Below are 22236 nucleotides of genomic sequence, written 5' to 3'. Positions count from 1 at the left end.
GATTTATTATTCTTATAGTTAGATATGCTTGTTTATAAATATATTTATTTACACAAAAAAATGTATGGTATATTTGTAGTGTTATATTAGTAAATGAAAATGTAAATTTGCTCTAGAGGAAGTAACTTGAGCATTTGTGGTTGATAGACCTGGATTCAGATTTCTTTTTTGGTACATACTTACTTTGAGACATTGGCTTACCTACCTGAACATCAGTTTCCTCATCTGCAAATTGTAATAATGTATATCTTTTTAATATTTGTGGTGAGTACTGTATGAAATGGTCTATTAGTCGGTTCTTGCATTGCTATAAAGAAATACCTGATACTGGATAATTTAAAAAGAAAATAGGTTTAACTGGCTTATGGTTCCATAGGCTGTACAGCAAGCATAATGCTGACATCTGTTTGGTTTCTAGGGAGACCTCTGGAAAGTTACTATCACGGCAGAAGGCAAGGGGGAGCAAGGCATCTCCTGTGGTGGGAGCAGGAGCAAGACAGAAAGGGGAGGAGGGAGGTGCCACACACTTTACACAACCAGTTCTCCTGAGAACTCACTCTCATGAGTACAGCACCAAGGAGATGGTGCTGAACCATTCATAAGAAACTGCCCCATGATCCAGTCACCTCTCACCAGGCCCCATCTCCAACACTGAGGATTACAATTTGACAGGAGACTTGGGTGGGGACGTAGATCCAAACCATATCAGATAGTTTTCATATTGAATCAATAAATGGATAGATACCACATTATCATTATTGCTTATACCTTGTTTTACTAGAAATGACTCTACAAAGACCAACTAGTGTTCATTTTTTATAAAAGGCAAAGATTTATACAATCTGAAAACAGAATATGGCATTCAGTTTCTGAATCAAATTTTATACCTCTTTAATTTCAGTACAATACTCTTCTTCAATATTTACGTGAGCATGTATTTTTTGTGTGCATACCATATCTTTTTTTAAATTTAAGCTCAAGGATACATGTAAAGAATGCGTAGGTTTTTTACTTAGGTATACATGTGTCATAGTGGTTTGCTGCACCTATTGACCAGTCCTCTAAGTTCCCTCCCCTTGTCCCCCACCACACAACAGGCCCTGGTGTGTGTTGTTCCCCTTCCTGTGTCCATGTGTTCAACTCCCACTTAGGAGTGAGAACAGTACATACCATACCTTTCTACTAATGGAAGGAAACTTGAGTGCCAGTTATCTCAGGTTCTTTGTTCTCTGTACACGTACAAAACTCACATACTTCTTGAAGCATTTGAGCGTTCTGCTGACAAATATTTAAAAAATTAAAAGTGATATTAGACTATTGTCTGCTTTTTATACAAATATAGATAATCATTACATATGCAGATATATGGGGCAGGGTGAGACACACAGACGTTATGTGAAGCATCTTTTTCTGTTTGTTGAGAACTACACACATTATGTTTTTCACGGTCCTACAGGCTTTGGTTATAAGCAGAAGCTTATTGCTCATGGCAAAAAATCTCATTTATCCTTTTCATCACATACAGAGAATCATGCTAGTGATCATGATTTCCTTTTCTCCCAGTCTGTCAAGAAGCTTAACACAAGATTTAATGCTTAATTACAGGATTACAAGCTCTGCAACAGTTATCTTTTTCTTCCTCCTAAGTGTTTTTCTTTAAAACTATTATCATTGAAATATTTATTTTTAACTGTGCTGTTCAATGGGTGTTTTTTTTTTATAGTTTGCTCTAAGGGTAGAATTGTATATCTTAGAACAATGATGCTTGGTAAGGTTTGGTGGGTGGAGGGAGGAATTTGACAACTTTTCATCAGAACATTTTAAAACAATTTTCTTTATCCCTATACATAATCCAGTTATAAATCAATGACTGGTCAATTAAACATCAAGAAGTAGTCATACGAAGCTATAGTTAAAAGCTTTAAGGCATTGGAATTCGTAGTCATGATGATTGTCACAAATAAATTTATATTATATAGTTAGAGATTCTATTACATAATTTGTCAATTTTAGATACCACTTTAGATCCAAGGGTCTTTTAAATGAAGACTGGAGAAAAATGTTTCCATGAGCAACTTTAGATTGTGCAATTGGGCATTTGTCTTCTACTTAATGGAAATTTGAATTTGAGTTTGTAATGATTAAACTTATTAGAAATAAGATCTAAAAAATATTTTATTAATCATATATAATCTGCCACCTAGTTCTTTCAAGTTTCCTGTTTTGTTTATATATAACTAGTTTGCTTTTAGTGTCCAGATTTTTTTATCTCAGTTTTAATTCTTCATTAATTCCTGAGAGAGCTAGGCTCCTGGTCATCTCAACAGAATAACTGGTGGCAAGAAAACTTCAAAAAGGAAAACAGTTATTTAAGGATCACTTAAAATGCTGAGTTTGTAGGTTTTGCCAAGGTCTCAGCCTTTCATATACCTTTGACATTAAGAATAGTGCCTGTCTGAAAGTAATTTCATTTGATCTAGTGTGCAAGTTTAGAAGGATTGCACAATCTACTTTGAATGTTACTGCCTGGCTGATCAGTTCACAGAAATCAGCTTAGGTGATCAGTGGGATGGCAGATATTACAGCCATGTTTCCCTCTTATGAATGTTCTCGAAAGTTAATAAATTACTAAATTACCAATGCAGCCATTTTGATATTGCCTTAGTATGTTTCAAAATGAGAAATTAAATGAACAATGCCCAATAATTCTTCTATATGTAAAATTGGAAGTAACCATCGAAACATATAATGCATTTAACTAAAGAGTTACTCCAGTTTTGAAAAACAGAAATACACCTTGGCCTTTCTGGGTAATTACATTTTCTAAGGACTGGGGCTGTTTGCAATTTTGATGTCATTCCTTTAAGATCATGTTCCTGACTTAATTTCAAAGCTAGTGTTTAGTGATGTAGCATTCTCCCCCTCCCCAATTTCTGCAACAATATTGAATTTTAAAATTTATCAGAAATAATGTAAAATCCATATAAATGATATAATACTATCTCATAAATGAAAGTTGCCAGATTTAGTACAGAAAAACACAGGATTCCCAGTTACATTTGAATTTCAAGTAACTATACCTTTTGTAGAACTTTGGAACATACTTTTACTAGAAAGAATTCATCATCTAATCAAATTTAATTGGATGTCCTGTATTTTTCCTGATAAACCTATTAGTATTAATATTTTCTCAAGGTTTTACCTTTTCTCAAGTATTAACCTTTTCTTAAGGTTTTAAGAAAATTCTTAGCCTGAGCTCAACTTTGTATATTAAGATCTAATTTATTTTTGGGGGGTGGGGGGGCAGTCTCTAAACAATTTCTAGACAATAGGCGAATTATATTAATATAAATGTGGTTTTCATATCATTTACATGATGGTAAATGGAAGGCATATTATTATATTAATACTTATAAGCATTGATTAATCATTTTTAGGATTAGCTTGTCCTCTGTAAATATATAGTTTGATACATTTAACTTTGGAATATAAAGCTTAGATATAATCTCACTTGATCTGCTTTCAGTTCACTTGTTCTTCTTATGTGTTTCTAGATCTGCTATGTTTTTACTAAACAGTCCATGAAAGTGGACAAAAATATACAACATGTTGGAGGAAAAAATACCTCCTTCTAGTTTTGTAGAGAGGGAATTGTGTCTGTAAAGGTTAATTAGGTGCTAATACATTCTCTTTATTCTTCTCACCTGGATATTAACTTTGAAATTGCTTGATTCTTTAAATGTAAAATATTTTTCATACTGAGTTTCTTACGTGCTAGAAAGAAGTTAATATGATCAAAAGATGAGTATGTTGATGTGTTCCTTTGTTCCATAACACATCTGGAATCACAGTTGAAAATGTAGACAACTCTGTAATTGGCTCAGCTTCTCTGCAGTATTTTTGCTCTCCACCGAAGTGACACCAGCCTCTTATGACTGAAGTAGTTTTATTTAGTTCTTTAGCTATTCAGTTTATCTTCTTTTTACCTCAATTTCTTATTTAAAAACCATCCAAATTTCTTCATTTATACTGCTCTGAATTTGGAATTCTTTGCCTAATTGATAAATGAGAAGCCAAAACAACTTAGGATAGATTGATTTGTTAGCAACCATGGACTAAGAATTGCACCAAGGAAAAGAATGTAGATTTTTAAATTTGACATTCAGTGCATCTGTATTGCCATGATTCAGCCTTTCCTTGGTACAACTTTGTCTGTAATTTTTTGGAAAAGTATACAGATCTTCATTTACTACTCTAAAGAAAAGAAAAGATTGCATTTACTAAACAATTATGCATTTTGAAATTAAAATAACTCCTATGAAAATATGCCTGAGGAATGAAGCATGGTCCACAGAATTCCCTTTCCTTGCCTCTCCTTTACTTTTTTCTTTTAAATTTGGACAAGAGATGAAATAAAGAATACAATTTAACTAGGGCTATGTTGAGAGTCTTTTGAATTTGTTGAGAATCTTTTGGATTGTTGCTTTCAGAAATTAACATTTTAACAATTATGCATGTTTTAACTAAAGACAGGTTATCTCTGAATCAGTAAACAGTTTGAATTTAAAAAGCTATTTGAAATATAACTTAAATACAGTTACTAAAACTAGGGTAATGAAACATAAGCTATTAGAAATTTTTGTTTCCAAGCAATTATATATTATTCAAATGTGCTTCTTTAATGTGTGAAGCCATTTCATTTTTTTTCCTTCTGCAACAGCCTTCCTTTCTTTGTGCTGTTAACAAAATTTTTTTACAAAGAAGCAGTACAGATTTAAACTGTAATCTATGCCCTATAAAAACACTGATTTCTACTTCAGTTAAATACAAATGAATGTCATTTAATTATATTAATGAAAGAGAGCAGCAATTGATCTGTAGCAGGTAATTTATATCATAATGGGGAAATTGCCAGCTTGTATTTGGTAGGTGCAAAGGGGTTGATTTAGGTTAGTTTGTGGATGTTTCTATTGCAAACATCTATCCTTGGAACATAGTCATTACTTTTCAGGAATAAATGAATACACCTTAACTTGACCTTTCAAGATAGAAAAAAAATGATGCAAAGGTTTTTCTTTTTTACAGTTTTACATGCTTCTACAAAAATATGTACTAGAGATTTCAATTTTTTTTTTTTTTTTTAAGGGAAAGCTTTGCTTTGTTTTCAGAATAAGAGAGATGGCTCTTTAAGTTCTGTTGGGTGCTCACATGAGAAGCAAAATAATGGCTTACTGGGGGGAAAAAAAAAGTAGATGAACCCAGCTACTAGGGTGTTTTTTTTTGTTGTTGTTTTTGTTTTTTTTTTTTAATTTGATCTAAAGCAAAGCAGTTAGTGGAAACACCAAACCTTAAAGGTGGAAGGATTCTAGAGACCGTATTTGTCAACTGAATGTTTATGTCACAGGGGAGGAACCAAAGCCTCGGGAAGCCACATTACTAACTAGTCAATGCTTAAAGCCGTTTAAGCATTTAGCCATGTGCTCAGTAAGCATTTTAAAACACTCACTGCATGCCTATAGTAGATGCTGTTGGTTCCCTGCCCACATCTCCTCAGTGCATGCACACACACATGCACACACACACACGCACATGTACACACACAGAGACACGCACATACTCTTGCTCTGTAGCCCAGGCTGGAGTGCAGTGGCGCGATCTCGGCTGACTGCAAGCTCCGCCTCCCGGGTTCACGCCATTCTCCTGCCTCAGCTTCCTGAGTAGCTGGGACTACAGGCGCCTACCACCACACCCAGCTAATGTTTTTTTTTTTGTTGTTTGTTTGTTTTTTTTTTGTATTTTTAGTAGAGACAGGGTTTTACCGTATTAGCCAGGGTGGTCTCGATCTCCTGACCTTGTGATCCGCCTGCCTTGGCCTCCCAAAGTGCTGGGATTACAGGTGTGAGCACCCGGCCAAGCACATACTCTTATAGCTTCCTCCTCTAAGCATCTGCACATCTTGGCCTTGAGGGCTTTCTCAGGTGGCCAGAATGAGCAGGAGTGAACACTCCGAGTGACAGTTGGTATGGGTGGATACTACCTGAGCCTCCTCATTCTTTGGATGTGACCGTTTTGAGTGAAATTCTATATAGCCTCCCCAGGGTTCCTAGGGAAACAGCCCCAGTTGTCTACCTGCTCTTGACCACAGCTTGTGTGCCTTGGTGTCTCACTTCTCTACTCTCCTATTGGTGTCTCCTGGGATCACCTCCCAAATAAATGATGCTCAAATCCTAGTCTCAGTGTCTATTTCTAGGTAACCAAACCTAGGACAGTGTTAAAAACCAGTCAGTGAACATCTTGTCTGTGGAATATTAAGATAATTCATCAGATGATTCAACAACCTTATGAGGGAGGCTGGCTTGTTTAGTAGTTAATGACATCTAAGCTGTGATGGGCCAGGCATTGAGCTCAAACATGGCTAAGGTGTAGTCTCTCACAGGGCTCAGGCAGGTGATCACACTATGCTGTGCTGAGTACACAGACTGAGGCAGGGAATGCAGCCGATCCTTGACCCAGATACTTGCCCATTTCATCAATACAACAAACCAGTGATGTGTAGTGACTCTTCTCTCTGATTTATAGAGTGGGGAAATACAAGAAGATTCTATGAGAGGCATTAAGAAGGGTGTCCAGCCGGGTGTAGTGGCTCACGCCTGTAATCCCAACATTTTGGGAGGCTGAGGTGAGTGGATCCCCTGAGGTCAGGAGTTTGAGACCAGCCTGGCCAACATGGTGAAACCCTGCCTCTTTTAAAAATAAAAAATTCGCTGGGCATGGTAGCAGGCACCTGCAATCCCAGCTACTCGGGAGGCTGAGGCAGGAGAATCACTTGAACCTGGGAGGCGGAGGTTGCACTGAGCCGAGATTGTGCCACTGCACTCCAGCTGGTCGACAATAGCAAAACTCCATCTCCAAAAAAACAAAAAACAAGGTTGTCCAATTTTGACATGAAGCAGGGAAGCTGGGGAGTTTTCTCTGGCAAAGAAAGCTTCCTGGATGCACCTTTATTTTACTTAATAATGAAAAGTCTTTATTCCAGACTCCTAGTAGAAAATGTGGCAAATTTCTCCCAAACACACCTCCTTTGCTCTCCCACTGTTTCCTACCTATAACTGGAGCCAGTCCATATACATGTCACTTTTAGCTCTCTCCTTCAGCTTTTCTTTTGCTCTTTCAATTTAGGAAATTCTCAATATTCCTTTTTCTAATAGGGAGGAACATCCCTTGACTTTTTTTTTTTTTTCTAACTATGCCTCATCATTTAGACTTCTTAGTTTTGTCTTATATGTAAAATCATCTGTTTTTGAAACTTACAAATCTCCTTTCTACTTTAACAAGCCTTGCTTTTAAGACTATTGCCTTATAGGAACATAATGCACTATCCGAGCTGAACAGTGATATATTTGTTTTAGCTGTTACCACTTTCACAGAATAGTGATGCCAGCATAAAGTTAATTATTCTATTTGATTATTGTTGTTAATCTCTTACTGTGCCTAATATATAAATTAAACCTTATAAGTTTGTATACATATTAATATTATCTGTATCTGCAGTGTCAGGCCTTTACTGGGGCGTCTTGGATGTTTCTCCTGGGGATGAGCAAGGAGTACTGTATATATGTGAATGTTTATTTCATAATAGACACATAATAAATGTCCCTGTACTACCTTTATTTCCTATCCTACATATCCCTATAAGCCCGATGAAAGATGAATGAAATTGATGTAGTGATTACCAACCTAATGTTCTTTGAGGCTCCAATTTTGAACAGATTATTTTAAACTAAGTTATTCACTGACCATAGTGTTAATCCTCATATTTTGTTTTAGTAGGATAATAATCTGGAGTTGATAATGATTAATCTGGAGAGGAAGGGCTAATATTACCATTGGACAAATTAACAGCTCTCTTGCTAAGACATCATATATTATGATCAAGTGCTGTTGACCTGGATCATGAGTCAAGAAGATCTGTGGGGTGTCTGAGTCAATAGGAAGAAACATAAGAAATGAAATGTTTTAGAAGATTAAATTTTAATGCTTTAGATGATTATATCTAAAGATTCATTGGAATTACAGATTAAAGGAGATTAAAGCAAGTTCCACAGCATTATGAATGTGTTTGTTCAGTTCTGGAATGAGGTTTCTGGGAGATTTGGTGCCTGAGGAAAATAATATATTTACCTTCTCATATTCTACCTTTGCTCTTCTCATAGAGTTTAAATCATATATTTATTGATATCATTTGGAACACCAAAATAGCTTACAGGCAGATTCCTATTAAAGTTTATCAGATGAATAAATAAATTGATATAGCTCTTAATGTTTAATAAGAATTGATCTCCTTTGAAGTTCAAGAGCCAATGAACTCTGAAATCAGTCTACTTGGAATTTCTCCTTGATTTCCTATGAGAGTGAAAGTAGCCTACCTTTTAACTTATTCGAGCTTTTGTAAAGCTCTACACTTTTTTTTTGACTGTTATGAATTATGTGTATGTGTGCAGGTATGTGTGTGTGTACTTGTTATTTTATTAGAATTTCTAATAGCTGCTTTTTTTTTTTTTTTTTTTTTTTTTTTTTTTTTGAGATGGGAGTCTTGCTATCACCCAGGCTGGAGAGCAGTGGTGCTGACTCGGCTCACTGCAACCTCTGCCCCTGGGATCAAGTGATTCTCCTGCCTCAGCCTCCCAAGTAGCTGGGATTACAGGTGTGTGCCACCATGGCCAACTAATTTTTGTATTTTAGTAAAGGCAGGGTTTCACCATGATGGCCAGGCTGTTGTCAAATTCCTGACCTCAGGTGATCTACCCGCCTCGGCCTCCCAGAGTGCTGGGATTACAGGCCTGAGTCAAGGCGCCTGGCCGAATTTGTAATAGTTGCTCATAGGCCTATCATATTCATTTAATCATTTATCAGCCCTTTCAGTAGCACTTCATACAGCATTCCAGACACTGCTAGCATTGAGTATATGCACAATAGAACATTGTCTCTACTCAAACTGTAGTAGCTTAATCTTCTTACCTGTAAAAGATATATATATAGATATAAAGATATATATCTTTATATATATATAAATATAAATATGTATATATAAAGATATATATTTATATATATCTTTATATATATAAATATAAATATGTATATGTAAAGATATATATAAATATATATCTTTATATATATAAATATAAATATGTATATGTAAAGATATATATATATCATTTCTTCTACACACACACACACGCACACACACACACACGTATATATATATGTAGAAGAAATGAGCAGTTCCTTTTAGTGAACGTCATGAATGTTTCTTTCTTCTAGGGAGGTATTTCCATTTGTGTCACCAGCATGATAGTTCAGCTCTGGGCTGTAGTACATGAGTATCTTTGCAGTTAGGTTATTAAACATAGTAAAGACACATGGATCTATTATCTTTCGATGTGACCACTCCTCTTAGATGGCTTTGGCTTGTAGATTGGTTAATATGCCGGACAACTTATGAAGTGATACTTTAATTTACAGGCACCATAATGACAACTGAAAAAATAAGCAGACTAAAATATTACAATTATGCAACGGAAAATACCGGATGAAGAAATGTAAAGTGATATGTGGCAAAAGTAACAGAAGCAAGCTTACAAAAGGCCAAAATTATTTTCTAGCTTTTTGTTGTTCTTCCAGTAAGCGAAATAAATTAATAATAATTTTAAATTTATATTTTAATGTAGATTATAAGACAAAGTTAAAAGAATGGATAAAGTGAATGAATGTGTCTCAAAGATTAACTATTTTATTATGTAAACTATTTAGAGGGTGTACATATAGGTATATATGTGTGTGTATATATATATAAAATTGTGTATAATATATATACAGAATGTGTGTGTATGTATGTATGTGCATATATATAAAATTTTTACATATAAAATTTTTATATGTAATTTTATAATATATGTAAAATATATAAATTACATATATAAATTTTATATGTAAAAATTTTATATATACGCACATATATACACACACATTCTGTATATATACAGAATATACATACATACACACATTCTGTATCTATACAGTGAATTTTATATATATAAAATATAAACATATATAAAAATTATACATGTAATTTATATATAATTTACATAATATATAATATGCAATATATATAATACATATATAATATATAATATATAATGTGTAATATATAATATATAAATTATATATTATATACAATTTATATATAATTTATATTTTACATAATTTATATATTTTTATTTTTTATTTTATTTTATATATTTTATATAATTTATATATTTATATAATTTATATTTTATATATATATAAAATTCACTGTCTCTAAGATGTAGGTCATGTCTGCATTCATAATAGCAGTACACAGGAGGTATAAGTATTTGATTGAGGATAAGAAGACTCAGTTTAACTGTTGCTAGTCTTAGCTTTTCAATACATAAAATGACATTGAGAATATTTAACTCACTGGGTCATCTTTAGTAATCAGGGTGTCAAAAAACACATGTGTTTAGGTTTCTAACCTAAATCAGGCTGAGCATGTGTACAAAGCTCAATGCTTATTTATTCGTATGAAAGAATGCTGAGAATTCAAAGAAGGAACAGATTATGATTTCATTATAATCCATACATTATTGAACCACGCTAGCAAAATCATTTTACTTTAATCTTTTTAAATAAAACTCTGATATTCAAGCATGCAATCAAAATGTAGAGTTATTTGATTTTTTATTATGCAACTAATTTTAAAGGCTAGTGAAGAGTTGATGTAAAAAAATTGATCCATCATTTTAAAAATGGTAATGATTACTGATATACCACTTATAAAATATTAAGTTGGCAGTAGGTGATTTTTGACCTTTAGTTCATTAGAGAAATGTTAGAAAAATATTAAAATGCTTTATATAGGAGCTAAGGAAACATTGAACTTGGCTTCTTTGATGTTTTTTTTAACCTTCTGCTAGAATTTTAAATTTTAGGTGAAAAAATATTTCATGCCAGAACACATCTGAGTTTTTATTCCACAAATTCTCTTAGTTGCATTTTGCAAATTACCTGAATGTGATTAAATAAAAGATGGATACACAGGGGAGAAAAAGGGGATGATGAAGAAATGGAATTCTTAATGAATCAGCAGGAGCTAGCATCTAGGACACAGATTTAGGAGTTATTTCTAGAACACTGAAATTTTTGTAAAGCTACAAATAAAAATTAAACTTTAAGCAAATAATACTATTAGTAATAGAAAATCAGATTCGAAGAAAACATTGTAGGAAGTATGGTATTAGTATCAGTACTATCGATTGTGTTGGAAACCAAATTCTTACTAGCTTAAGAAAAAAAAATGATTTTTCCTATCACCAAGAAGCCAACAGATGAAGGAAGCCTCAAGGATTCAGGCTGTAACCAGCTCAGCTTTTATGACCGTAACTACTCCTAGACCTATTACACCCAAAGAAATAGAGAGATGGAATACAGTTTTTGAATATATTTAGGTACTTGTTAATTTGTGTCATCAGATAAGTGGGGTGATGTGATTTACTAGCCAGACAGAATCACATGATTAGATTGGGTGAATAAACAGTTTCTGAAAAGCTATAGGATTTCTGAATAGAAAAACATTTTACCAAAGAACCCTACATGTTTGTTAGAGTTTTTAAAACATAGAAACTCCTGATTTACTGGTGTGTAATTTTCTCCAGCAAGATTGGGCAGTTTGGATGTTGGGATGGACAAGCAAACTTTTAGATTAATACAAGGTGAAAGTTTTTATAGGCAGTAATGAATGATGATTGATATGTGGAGGTGTACATGTAGACTGGAGAGTTACAGAATCACACAGGTCTGGAGCACAGCAACACATTTGGTGGACAGGATGCGTATAAGCCCCTTCCACTCCAATTAATTACCATTTGCATTAGGCTTTCTTATAAATCATCTCATTTGGTTTATCAGATTAAAAAGCATGACAACAACTAGTAATTTTATTTCTTCTCCACTCTGCTATGTGGAATCTTTGAAGATAGCACTTAAAAGACACATTGCATCCTAACTGATCTAAGAAAATAAAATTATAATTTACTTCATGTATAAGTAGGTATTAACTAAAGTTAATTGATAAATTCTATGGATGTATATTCCTGATATTTTTCATATATAAAAAGTAGTTAACAATTACGGGGCATATATTGTGTGCCATGCACTGTACTTAACACTTTATATCAATTATCTTATTGTCTCTTGTCACATAATATGAATGCAGGTTTATCACGTCTTCAGTTCAGTTATATGGTAGCACTTATCTCTAGATGGTCTTGTGTCCATCTTTATTTTTTCTTTTCATCTTCTAAATTACATACTTTCTCAATATGTTCATGTTTTCCAAACTTCAAACAAATATAATGACAGGAAAAAATACTTTTTTTCCTGGAGCACTGTCTTGAAAATGATTTACTCACATTCATATCCCCCCTCACCACTGACACCCACAGACAGCCATACACACACATACATGTTCCTAAGTTCTTTTATTCACACAGTGTTACAGTGCTGTTGGTTGAACTCATCCCAGGTACAACAGTTGATAATGGACAAAATAGCAGTGGTTGCTAAGTCAAATTGCTACAAATGTATTTCCAGAAAATTTGAGCTATAAATGATTTTAGCTAAACAGTGTAGATGTTGGCTGGCATGAATCATTAACATAACTTATTTTTAATGAAGAGTATCTACAATGTTTAACCAATTGACTTGGTATTTGGAACTCAGGAGTGATAAAAATGACAATAAGATTGCAATATTTTGTAAAAGTGACTTTATCAGACAGTACAGTTGCCCAAAACTTGTCAGGCTGTGAATCATGTGCAGAGCTGAGTATAGCCAAGAAAGAGAATTAGTAAATTGGACAGGAAGTTAGTCTCTATTTGAATTTTGAATGTGTCATATATTTTAATTGTTGACTATAAAATCTTAATTTTCAGTTGCAATATTTAAGCCTTATTCCTGGCAACATCTTAGTTCCATGGGGAAGCTTTGCATGTGTGCCTCAGATTTTTAGCATAATCTATTCATCAGAGGCCCACATTTGTGAGCAAGTGGCATGCAAGGGGCTGTCACTCACAATATACATTTTTAAGATGGAAAGGTCTATTTTGCTCAGATTTAATTTTTGACTCCCAAGAGACAATGTGGGACTAAAGTAATTTATCTCTCAACTTGCTAGGGGATGTTTGAAATTTCAGTAAGCAGCAGTATTATATTAGCATGGACCATTTGGGCAAATTTGTTTCAAGGAGATAATAAATAACTAAACTGCATGGTTAAAAATCAGAAAGAAAACAATTTGTTCTTGTCATCTGGTGGCGCTTAAATTATGAAAAATAGCTCTCCAAAGGTTTAATCCCTGAATCTAGTTTGAAGCTGTTGCTGACTTTATTCTATCATACTGCACATAATGCCTTGAAATCCACTGAAAACCTGTGTATTTGAGTGTGAAACCTTCCAAGATGATGTTGTTTAATAATTTGCATAAAGACATTTAGGCTGAAGGATAATAGAGAAACAAGATTACTCTATTCTATCATTTGTTCCCATGGTAATTAGTTTATATGCCATAGTTTTAATTAAAGTATTAAATGATACTGGTATAACTGTACTTTCTAGAGAAGGGACTGAGGGAATTTTTAGTGATAAGACAGGGAAATGATTAAGAAAGAAACACATATGCTCAAACTGATCAACAGACGGGCAATGTCTTGACTATCTAAAATTGTTAATTCTCAACTGTTTTGAAAACTGAGAAAGCTTTAGTTTATGTGGTCATGTCATCCAACCATAATGAGATATTTTTCATATATACGAGGTCAGATCCTTGCCACAGACGAGTTGTAGGGTGAACACTTGCTCCCTGTGGTCAGGGTGTAGATATTATTCATCTTCGTTTCTCCAATACGTAGCACGGAGAAGGTTGCCAAAATAATTGTTGAATGAGTGGTGTGGCTCCCCCGATTGTTGTTGAAACCCCAAAATCTCCCTGTACAAAGTCTAAGTGGGATGGGAACAGGAGACTGGGTTAAGGGAGAAAGAATTCAGCTGAGACTTTTTCCTCTTCTCCTTTAATTTTACCCACTTAAGGCATTTAACTTCATTTTTTTTTTTAAATTTCCTCCCCTAATTTTCTATTAGCACAGAATTCATTTTAAGTAAAACTCATATCTATAAAAGCATCAGAACAGAATTTAGTTGATTTGGTGTGAATCATCTTTTATTCCTAAGAATTGTCCTTTCCCAATTCTGTTAAGATTGGTTCTGGATATATTGTGGTGACTCAGTGATTTGAATAACTCCTAGTGAAAGACTGATTTAGTTAACATAGCTGGACATATCTTAATATATATTTCTAAATAGCAAAAAGATAGCTTTAAATGAATTGATAGGAAAGAGAATGACTGCTTCTCCAAAATATGATTTTTCTCAAAATTATAGTTGAAATTGTTTCTGAGCCAAATAATTCTGAAAGCATTCAAACAAAAATCACAAACGAATAATTGCAATTTTTTTTTCTTTTTTTTTTTTTTTAGAGACGAGTCTTGCTCTGTCGCCTAGGCTGGAGTGCAGTGGCGTGATCTCAGCTCACTGCAAGCTCCACCTCCCAGGTTCACGCCATTCTCCTGTCTCAGCCTCCCGAACAGCTGGGACCACAGGTGCCCGCCACCACGCCCTGCCAATTTTTTGTATTTTTAGTAGAGACAGGATTTCACCGTGTTGGCCAGGATGGTCTCGATCTCCAGACCTTGTGATCCACCCGCCTCGGCCTCCCAAACTGCTGGGACTACAGGCATGAGCCACCGCGCCCAGCCAATTGCAATTTTTTTTTATAAGAAAATATGAACTGAGACTTGGAAAATATTTTGATGTGGTGATATAAATTAAGTGCTCTTTGAATATTTGGCATTTATTTTAAGGTCATATTCCATAGAGGTGGATTTGGTTGACAGAGCAGATGCAGAGTTAGTTTCTCCAACTCCTGATGCCCTGTATAAATTTATTCTTATTAAAATTGATCAAGTGAGCTTTTCTGTTTCATGAAATAAGGGAATAATGAAATGTATATGCTATGAATGAAAATTTGGGGTTTGGGAAAGAAAAGCATATTTATCATATGAGGTTTGTAAAAATGCTCCTAAGCCAAAAGCAATATCCCATTTATTGGTGAAGAAGAAATTTAGTTTTACGGTATGGGACATAATTGGTTGCAAATTCCACTAAGGTCTACGTTCTCTTCTTAAAATGTGACAGCCTGTCTAAGCATGCATATTTGAGTAAGTGCTTTCTCATTTTGTTGTTTTCTATAAAAAGTCAGTTTTGTTTTTTTCATTGATATTTTGACCATATAAATGAATGATATATTGAGAAAGAACTCTTTTAGAATGGAAATGTCAAGGCCGGGCATGGTGGCTCACGCCTGTAATCCCAACACTTTGGGATGCTGAGGCAGGCAGATCACTTGAGGTCAGGAGTTCGAAACCAGCCTGAACAACATAATGAAACACCGTTAATAATAATAATAATAATAATAATAATAATAGCCAGGTGTGTTGGCAAATGCCTGTAATTCCAGCTAGGAAGGCTGAGGCAGGAGAATTGCTTGAGCCCAGGAGGCAGAATTTGCAGTGAGCCGAGATCATGCCATTGCACTCCAGCCTGGGCGATAGAGCGAGACTTCATCTCAATAAAGAAAAAAAAAAAAAAGGAAATGTCAAATACTTAGTAACAAGAAAGGAGTATGGATGAGTATGGATGTTTGACCTGCAATATAATTTTATAACTAATATATATTTGTTTCTTCAGTTTACTTAAAAACTCAGCGTTTGGAATTATATGCAATCCAGAATCCAGAAAGCCTTGTACAAATTCGTTAACACTTAACTGAACTTTGAAATGCACCTTTTCAATGACAGTTTTAAAAGCAACATAGAGTTTCAGAGTTTAGAGTGCTCATCATTGTACCATGGACCCTCATTCTGAAAGAAGAGATAAGTAACAGATTTTGTAGAATGTAGTACACAAAAAAGGGAAACAAAACCATTGGGAAATTCTCAAATAAACTTAGATCTTTTTAATTCTTAATTTTACTTAATTTTAGTTTCATGCATAGCTCTTAACAGGATCAAAATACTTAGTTTATATCAATACTGGCACTTAAAAAATCATACTTGTAACCCTTCTGACACTAGGTGAAATACTCTTAATCTTAGCCTTGATGATTATTTATTTATATTTTATTACTAGGAAATACATTGACTAATCATTAATTCTAGTACCATGGACCAAGTGTAATCCTACATACATATGTTGTTTTATGCAACTGATTTGTATCCATTATTTTACCAAAAGAGTAGGAGTTGATAGGTTTGAGTTATTTTTTGCCTTTCTTGGCACAACAGTGTGTGCATATAGATATTAGTGAGTATCTGTTGAAAATGACGATGTTGAACTGCTTGAAATTCAATGCAGCCTCACCTTGTTTTCTACGTGTTCCCATTCTGTTAATATAAGCAAGCAGATGGCAGAAAATAAAGTCTAAAATGAAGATGAACTTATTCAGTGCTTTAACTTTTCGTAGAATCCACATTTTAAATTGAAAATCGTCTCCTAAGTATAAACTGCAGAGGTACAAGCAGGATCAATAAACTAGTAATTAGGTTTGGGTCTCAGGTGGATTCAGAAGATTGTCTTGCTTTGCACATGTGATGAGCTCTGCTTTTTTATAAAAATAATGCTATAAGGTCGGGCGCGGTGGCTCACGCCTGTAATCCCAGCACTTTGGGAGGCTGAGGCGGGCGGATCACGAGGTCAGGAGATCAAGACCATCCTGGCTAACACAGTAAAACCCCATCTGTACTAAAAATACAAAAAATTAGCGGGGCATGGTGGCGGGCGCCTGTAGTCCCAGCTACTTTGGAGGCTGAGGCAGGAGAATGGCGTGAACCCAGGAGGTGGAGCTTGCAGTGAGCCGAGATCGCGCCACTGCACTCCAGCCTGGGCGACACAGCGACACTCTGTCTCAAAAAAAAAAAAAAACAAAAAAAACAAAAAAAACAAAACTAATGCTATAAGAAATGTTTCAGGAATTAGAATTTTTATGCATGTTAAAATTTTTAGCTACTGAATAATTCTTTTGAAAATCAAATAATGTAAAACTTTAGTGATTCTAAATGAAATTCAAATTCATGGGTTTCAGTCTCTATTATGATTCATATGCTGTGATATTTATATCATTTTTGGTTTGTTTGGTCTTCATGGAGACCTATATTTTAGAGTTTCAGTCTCGTGGTATGTTTCTCAAACAAAAACAGGCAGATTTCTGTGGTAAATAAACTGAGAAAACACAATGTATTTTCCTCTTGGAGATTTATAATGTACAGTTATACATTGTCTCTGTGAAGTTCTGCCGAAAAGAGACAATTTTAACTTTATTATATTCTAAAGTCATATGATCATGGAATGCTTTTGCCCACATGACATCCATTAATATCTTGAAGAAGTAGTGATTTTTGCGGGGAGGGGGAAAGGGAATACACTGAGAAGCACTAATTTAGTGAACTTTTCCCAAGTAATTTCCGTTTTAAAAATTGTGTATTATATGTTTGCTTTTAATAAATTTTTTTTTTGAGGCGGAGTCTCGCTCTGTCGCGCGATCTCAGCTCACTGCAAGCTCCGCCTCCTGGGTTCATGCCATTCTCCTGCCTCAGCCTCCGGAGTAGCTGGGACTACAGGCACCCGCCACCACGCCCGGCTAATTTTTTTTTTTTTTTTTTTTTTTAGTAGAGACGGAGTTTCACTGTATTAGCCAGGATGGTCTCGATCTCCTGACCTCATGATCCACCCACCTCGGCCTCCCGAAGTGCTGGGATTACAGGCGTGAGCCACCGCGTCAGCCTAAAATTTTACAGCATCTATGTTTTTGGATGTTTAAGAGGCAGGGAAAAATATGTGTTCACATCGTAGTGAGTTTACTACTTGAAGACATGTGGAAGATGAACTATATCTTCAATCAGTTTGGAATAAGATAGAGAAATCAGTCTAAGTGGATTATTTTTACACTACATAGAACTAGCCTCAGAGACACAAAGAATAGGAGTTTTAAATTCCTGACAGTCATTTTATTAATCCATTTCCATTTTTCCTTTCTAACATAGTTTGTAGCCCTAATTTATATTTATGGTATTTTTCAGGAAACTGATGGCTAGCAGAGTCATCCATATATATTTACTCTTGCTAGAACACCAATGCTAATTCACCACTTTGCTAGAATATGAGAGTATTAGTGTGAGATAATCTGATATTTTTTACTATCTGAATTCCCTGGTGCTCATCATTTCTTTTCTGACTCCATGAGTAAATTTCTGCCAATATTGTATAGATGCACATTTCCTCCAGAATCATTTCAACACTCTGTGTATGTATATAAAAATCATGGCTTCAACAAAGTATTAAGACACGTATCTTACATGCTTCTTGAATTATCCTGTTCATTGTGTATTAATATATCAGTGTATATATGTGTTTGTCTATAATTTATTTTACTTACCAATTTTTCACTTATTTTTTTCTTGACAAATGGGTCTCAGACTTACACTGGGATCTTTTTCCCAATGCAAGATGTAATATCACTGATAAACGGTTTTAATATGTTCCTGGAAAAATAGTGGCTAATCCTTATGGATCATTGTGGAATATATTGTGAAAGAAAGATGACAAGGAGTTTATTTTATAATATGCATAAAATGTATTCAGTATTTGATACAGTATTGTTTTTATTAAAATCAATAAAGCGTTCTTTTTTTTTTGTAGAGCAATGAAGTTGTCTACTACAATGCAAAGGATGATCTCGATGTGAGTATTAAATGTTTTCCATTAAATTCCAAGAAAATTATAGTAAAATGATTGGCCTTATATAGAATAAATTGAGCTAGCAGTTTTAGTTTTTAAGACAATGTTAGACTGCATGAGCAAAATACTAGTTAGATACGAGATAATGAAGAACTTTTGTGATTTTTAACAACTTATTCTTGGCATCTTCCTAAGTAAAAATTCCATGTGTTTCTCTGGATCTGAACCCTCACTGCACTTTTTCCAGACCACAGTCCTCTGTACCAACTGTGATACTCTGGACTCCATTAGCAATATTGAAAATAGCTATCCAATCCCATCTACTTCTGTATCCTGGCTCCTGTCACCAGGGTCACCACGCCTATCTGCTTTGACTTAAACTTTGCACACCAGGGAGAACCATTTACTTCAACTACAATATGAATGACACCCCAGAAGCTGTGCAACAACCTGCCCTGCTTGTACAGTCTTTGAAACAAAGTAGTTGCTCCATATGACTTTTTAAATAAATGACTCTAATGTACACATTTAAATGACTTGAAAACATGGATTATTTTAGTGCTAATCAGTTACTTCTAATATTGCTACATCTGGATAGACATTGAGGACACATTTATTACTTAGTGTTGGTGAATAGAGTTGCGAAGTTATCTAATAAAGGTTACACTTAATTTTTTAAAATTCTTGTATTTGACTCTTAGATCAAAAAAATGCCTATGTATACTTATTTCTTAAGATAAAATTATTTGTTAAGCTCATCCTATATTTTAGTTATTTTAAGAGCTTGGGGTATTTCAGTAAACATAGCAAACAAATATAATAAAAGTATTACATGTCTTTCACACATTTCTCATCCGAATCAAAATAATTGTATTTATATACTATTATATGGAATTTTCTTCCAGCTATTTAAAAGAAGAAAATGAAAAAATACATAAAACAAGTCTATCTGGTCTTAAAAAATGAGAAAACACATAATGGCTTGATAATGTCACAGTTTCCCAAATTATAACAAATTATACCACCACCATCTCAAACCATACTACTAACCACTTTACACAACTTATTTTACTTAGTTCCTACAATACTGTTAATGAAGAAGGTTTTATTTTCTCCAGTTTATAGTTGAAGAGCTAAGAGTGTTTTAAAAAGTATTTTTTTTCCTCTAGACATAGGTGGCGTTCCCATGACATCTTTCCTCTTGTCATGATTGTATATATTATTTTAATGATGTAGGAGGCTTATTAAGTACAAACTGTCAACTAAAACAAAATGTTTTAATGGTTTATTGATATCAAAATAAGTACCATTTTTGAAGAGATGTTTAGTTTCACCATTATAATTAGCACTTGATATTTTTAAACTTATTTAAAAATATATACAAAATCTTCATCAACCTTCCTGGTACATAAATTGCAACATTTATTTAATATTTAATTTGTAAAGCGATGACAAAGCCTTAGAATAAAGTGAATGGCATTGACGTGCAATCCTCCAATTAAGGATTGCATAAAGATAATGAAACCAATACTGCAAATAAGTATTTCTTCTCTAAACTAATTAAAGAAGTTACATTTATATGTGAAACAGTTTTATTTAGGTTTGCTCATTATTTAGAAAGTAATTTTTATTTTACATTGAAATTGGTGATTTTCTTTTGTTCAAGATTTTAACAATAATATGTAAATTGTCAATATGACTTTTTAGTAACTATCACTCCAGTTTCAATCAATGCTTCAAAGTTGCCCATTTGAGCATATATGTCCACTACAAGTGGAAAAGTGCACGTGTTACTATTTGTAATACTTCAGTTGTTCTAATATTGTTACATAGTTTGCCTTCACTAATGTTCATTCAAATGTTTAAATCAAAGTCTCTTGAGAGAGAAAAAAATGTGTAAGTGAACTTATTAAACTTGTCTTGTTTTTCCCATTTTCTCATCTAAAAAAATAGTATCTACTACTACTGTGGGTTATATATTTATGCTTAGGATAAGGATTCCTTCTCTGTTTTCTGCCATGAGGTGAAATTTAGCAAATTAAAGCCTTATAAATAGTAAAATGTCCACATTTAAATTTAAAACTTAAAACTATGATGGTCAGCATTTGAAGAAAACTCAATTGCTTTATATACAAACAATAACGTTATCAGAATAATTCGCAAAGAGTGTTGTTTCGTGCAAACTGAACTAGAATAGGAATCAGAATAATTCATGCCCTAATCCAGCCCTAAAATTATAGTCATCCTAGGGCTTTAACACCTATTAAAATTTGAACTGTTATTCTCTCATCTAAGACATGATACAGATGAATAGGTGATCCATAACGTTCATTTCAGTTCTGGATATTCTTAGATTCTAATGAAAATATATACTTATACATAAAGAATATACTTAAATGGATAAAGAATATGACCACATTATAGAATTTAATAGTCAAAAGGAGGGAAGAAGATGGCATTCATGACTTTTACCCTACTATAAGCATGTTGGTTTTTTGTTACATTTTTAATATTTTCTCATGAACATATATGTTTACTTATTTGCATAATTCTTTTTTTTTTTCCGAGACAGACTCTCGCTCTGTCGCCCAGGCTGGAGTACAGTGGTGCGATCTCGGTTCACTGCAAGCTCCACCTCCTGGGTTCACGCCATTCTCCTGCCACAGCCTCCTGAGTAGCTGGGACTACAGGCGCCCGCCACCATGCCCAGCTAATTTTTTGTATTTTTTAGTAGAGAAGGGGTTTCACCGTGTTAGCCAGGATGGTCTCGATCTCCTGACCTCCTGATCCACCCGCTTCGGCCTCCCAAAGTGCTGGGATTACAGGCGTGAGCCACCGTGCCCGGCCCTGCATGATTCTTTAAGTACACAAGTTATTAAGTGGCATAATCATTTTTTATCTTGGGAAATAGTTGTTGGATCATTCTTTTGAGCTGATATAACACAATTCATTTAACTCCACTTCTACCTTGGAGTTTAATTTTCCTTTGTGAGTATTCACATAAATATCAGTACATCTTTACACATAAATATTATTCTTCAAAGTTTTAAACTTATTTTTAGGATAGATTCCCAAAAGTGGTAATTTTTGACATTTTAATGAATTTTGATACATAGTGCGATATCACTTACAAAAAGGACCAGACCAAGTTCTACCATCATTAAGGTACAGAGACATTATTTCCTCACAGGCTGCTCAGCATTATATTAAAAGATAATCTAACACATTCAAATAGTTTTTCACTGTTTTGATTACTTGTCTTCCAGTATTCAGATTTTGCCCTCAACATGGGAAACCCATGTTTTTTCA

General features: G+C 34.1%; 1 protein-coding gene across 16 annotated transcripts in view; it reads left to right on the top strand.

Moving 5' to 3' along the window:
- CACNA2D1 (calcium voltage-gated channel auxiliary subunit alpha2delta 1) overlaps window positions 1–22236 on the top strand; it is a 497513-nt gene that overhangs the window by 288392 nt on the left and 186885 nt on the right. For all 16 annotated transcript variants that reach the window (XR_001744873.3, XM_005250574.4, XM_005250572.4 and 13 more), the window contains exon 5: window positions 18889–18930. Coding sequence is in view for 15 of the 16 variants with exons in the window: in XM_005250574.4 (XP_005250631.1) it covers window positions 18889–18930 (42 nt within the window). In the remaining variant the exon portion in view is untranslated. The remainder of the gene's footprint in view (window positions 1–18888; window positions 18931–22236) is intronic.

The sequence above is a fragment of the Homo sapiens genome, chromosome 7, assembly GCF_000001405.40.
Source record: "Homo sapiens chromosome 7, GRCh38.p14 Primary Assembly".
Taxonomy (NCBI): Eukaryota; Metazoa; Chordata; class Mammalia; order Primates; family Hominidae; genus Homo; species Homo sapiens.
The sequence above is the reverse complement of the archived record's forward strand: the minus strand, read 5'-3'. Positions and strand labels throughout refer to the sequence as shown.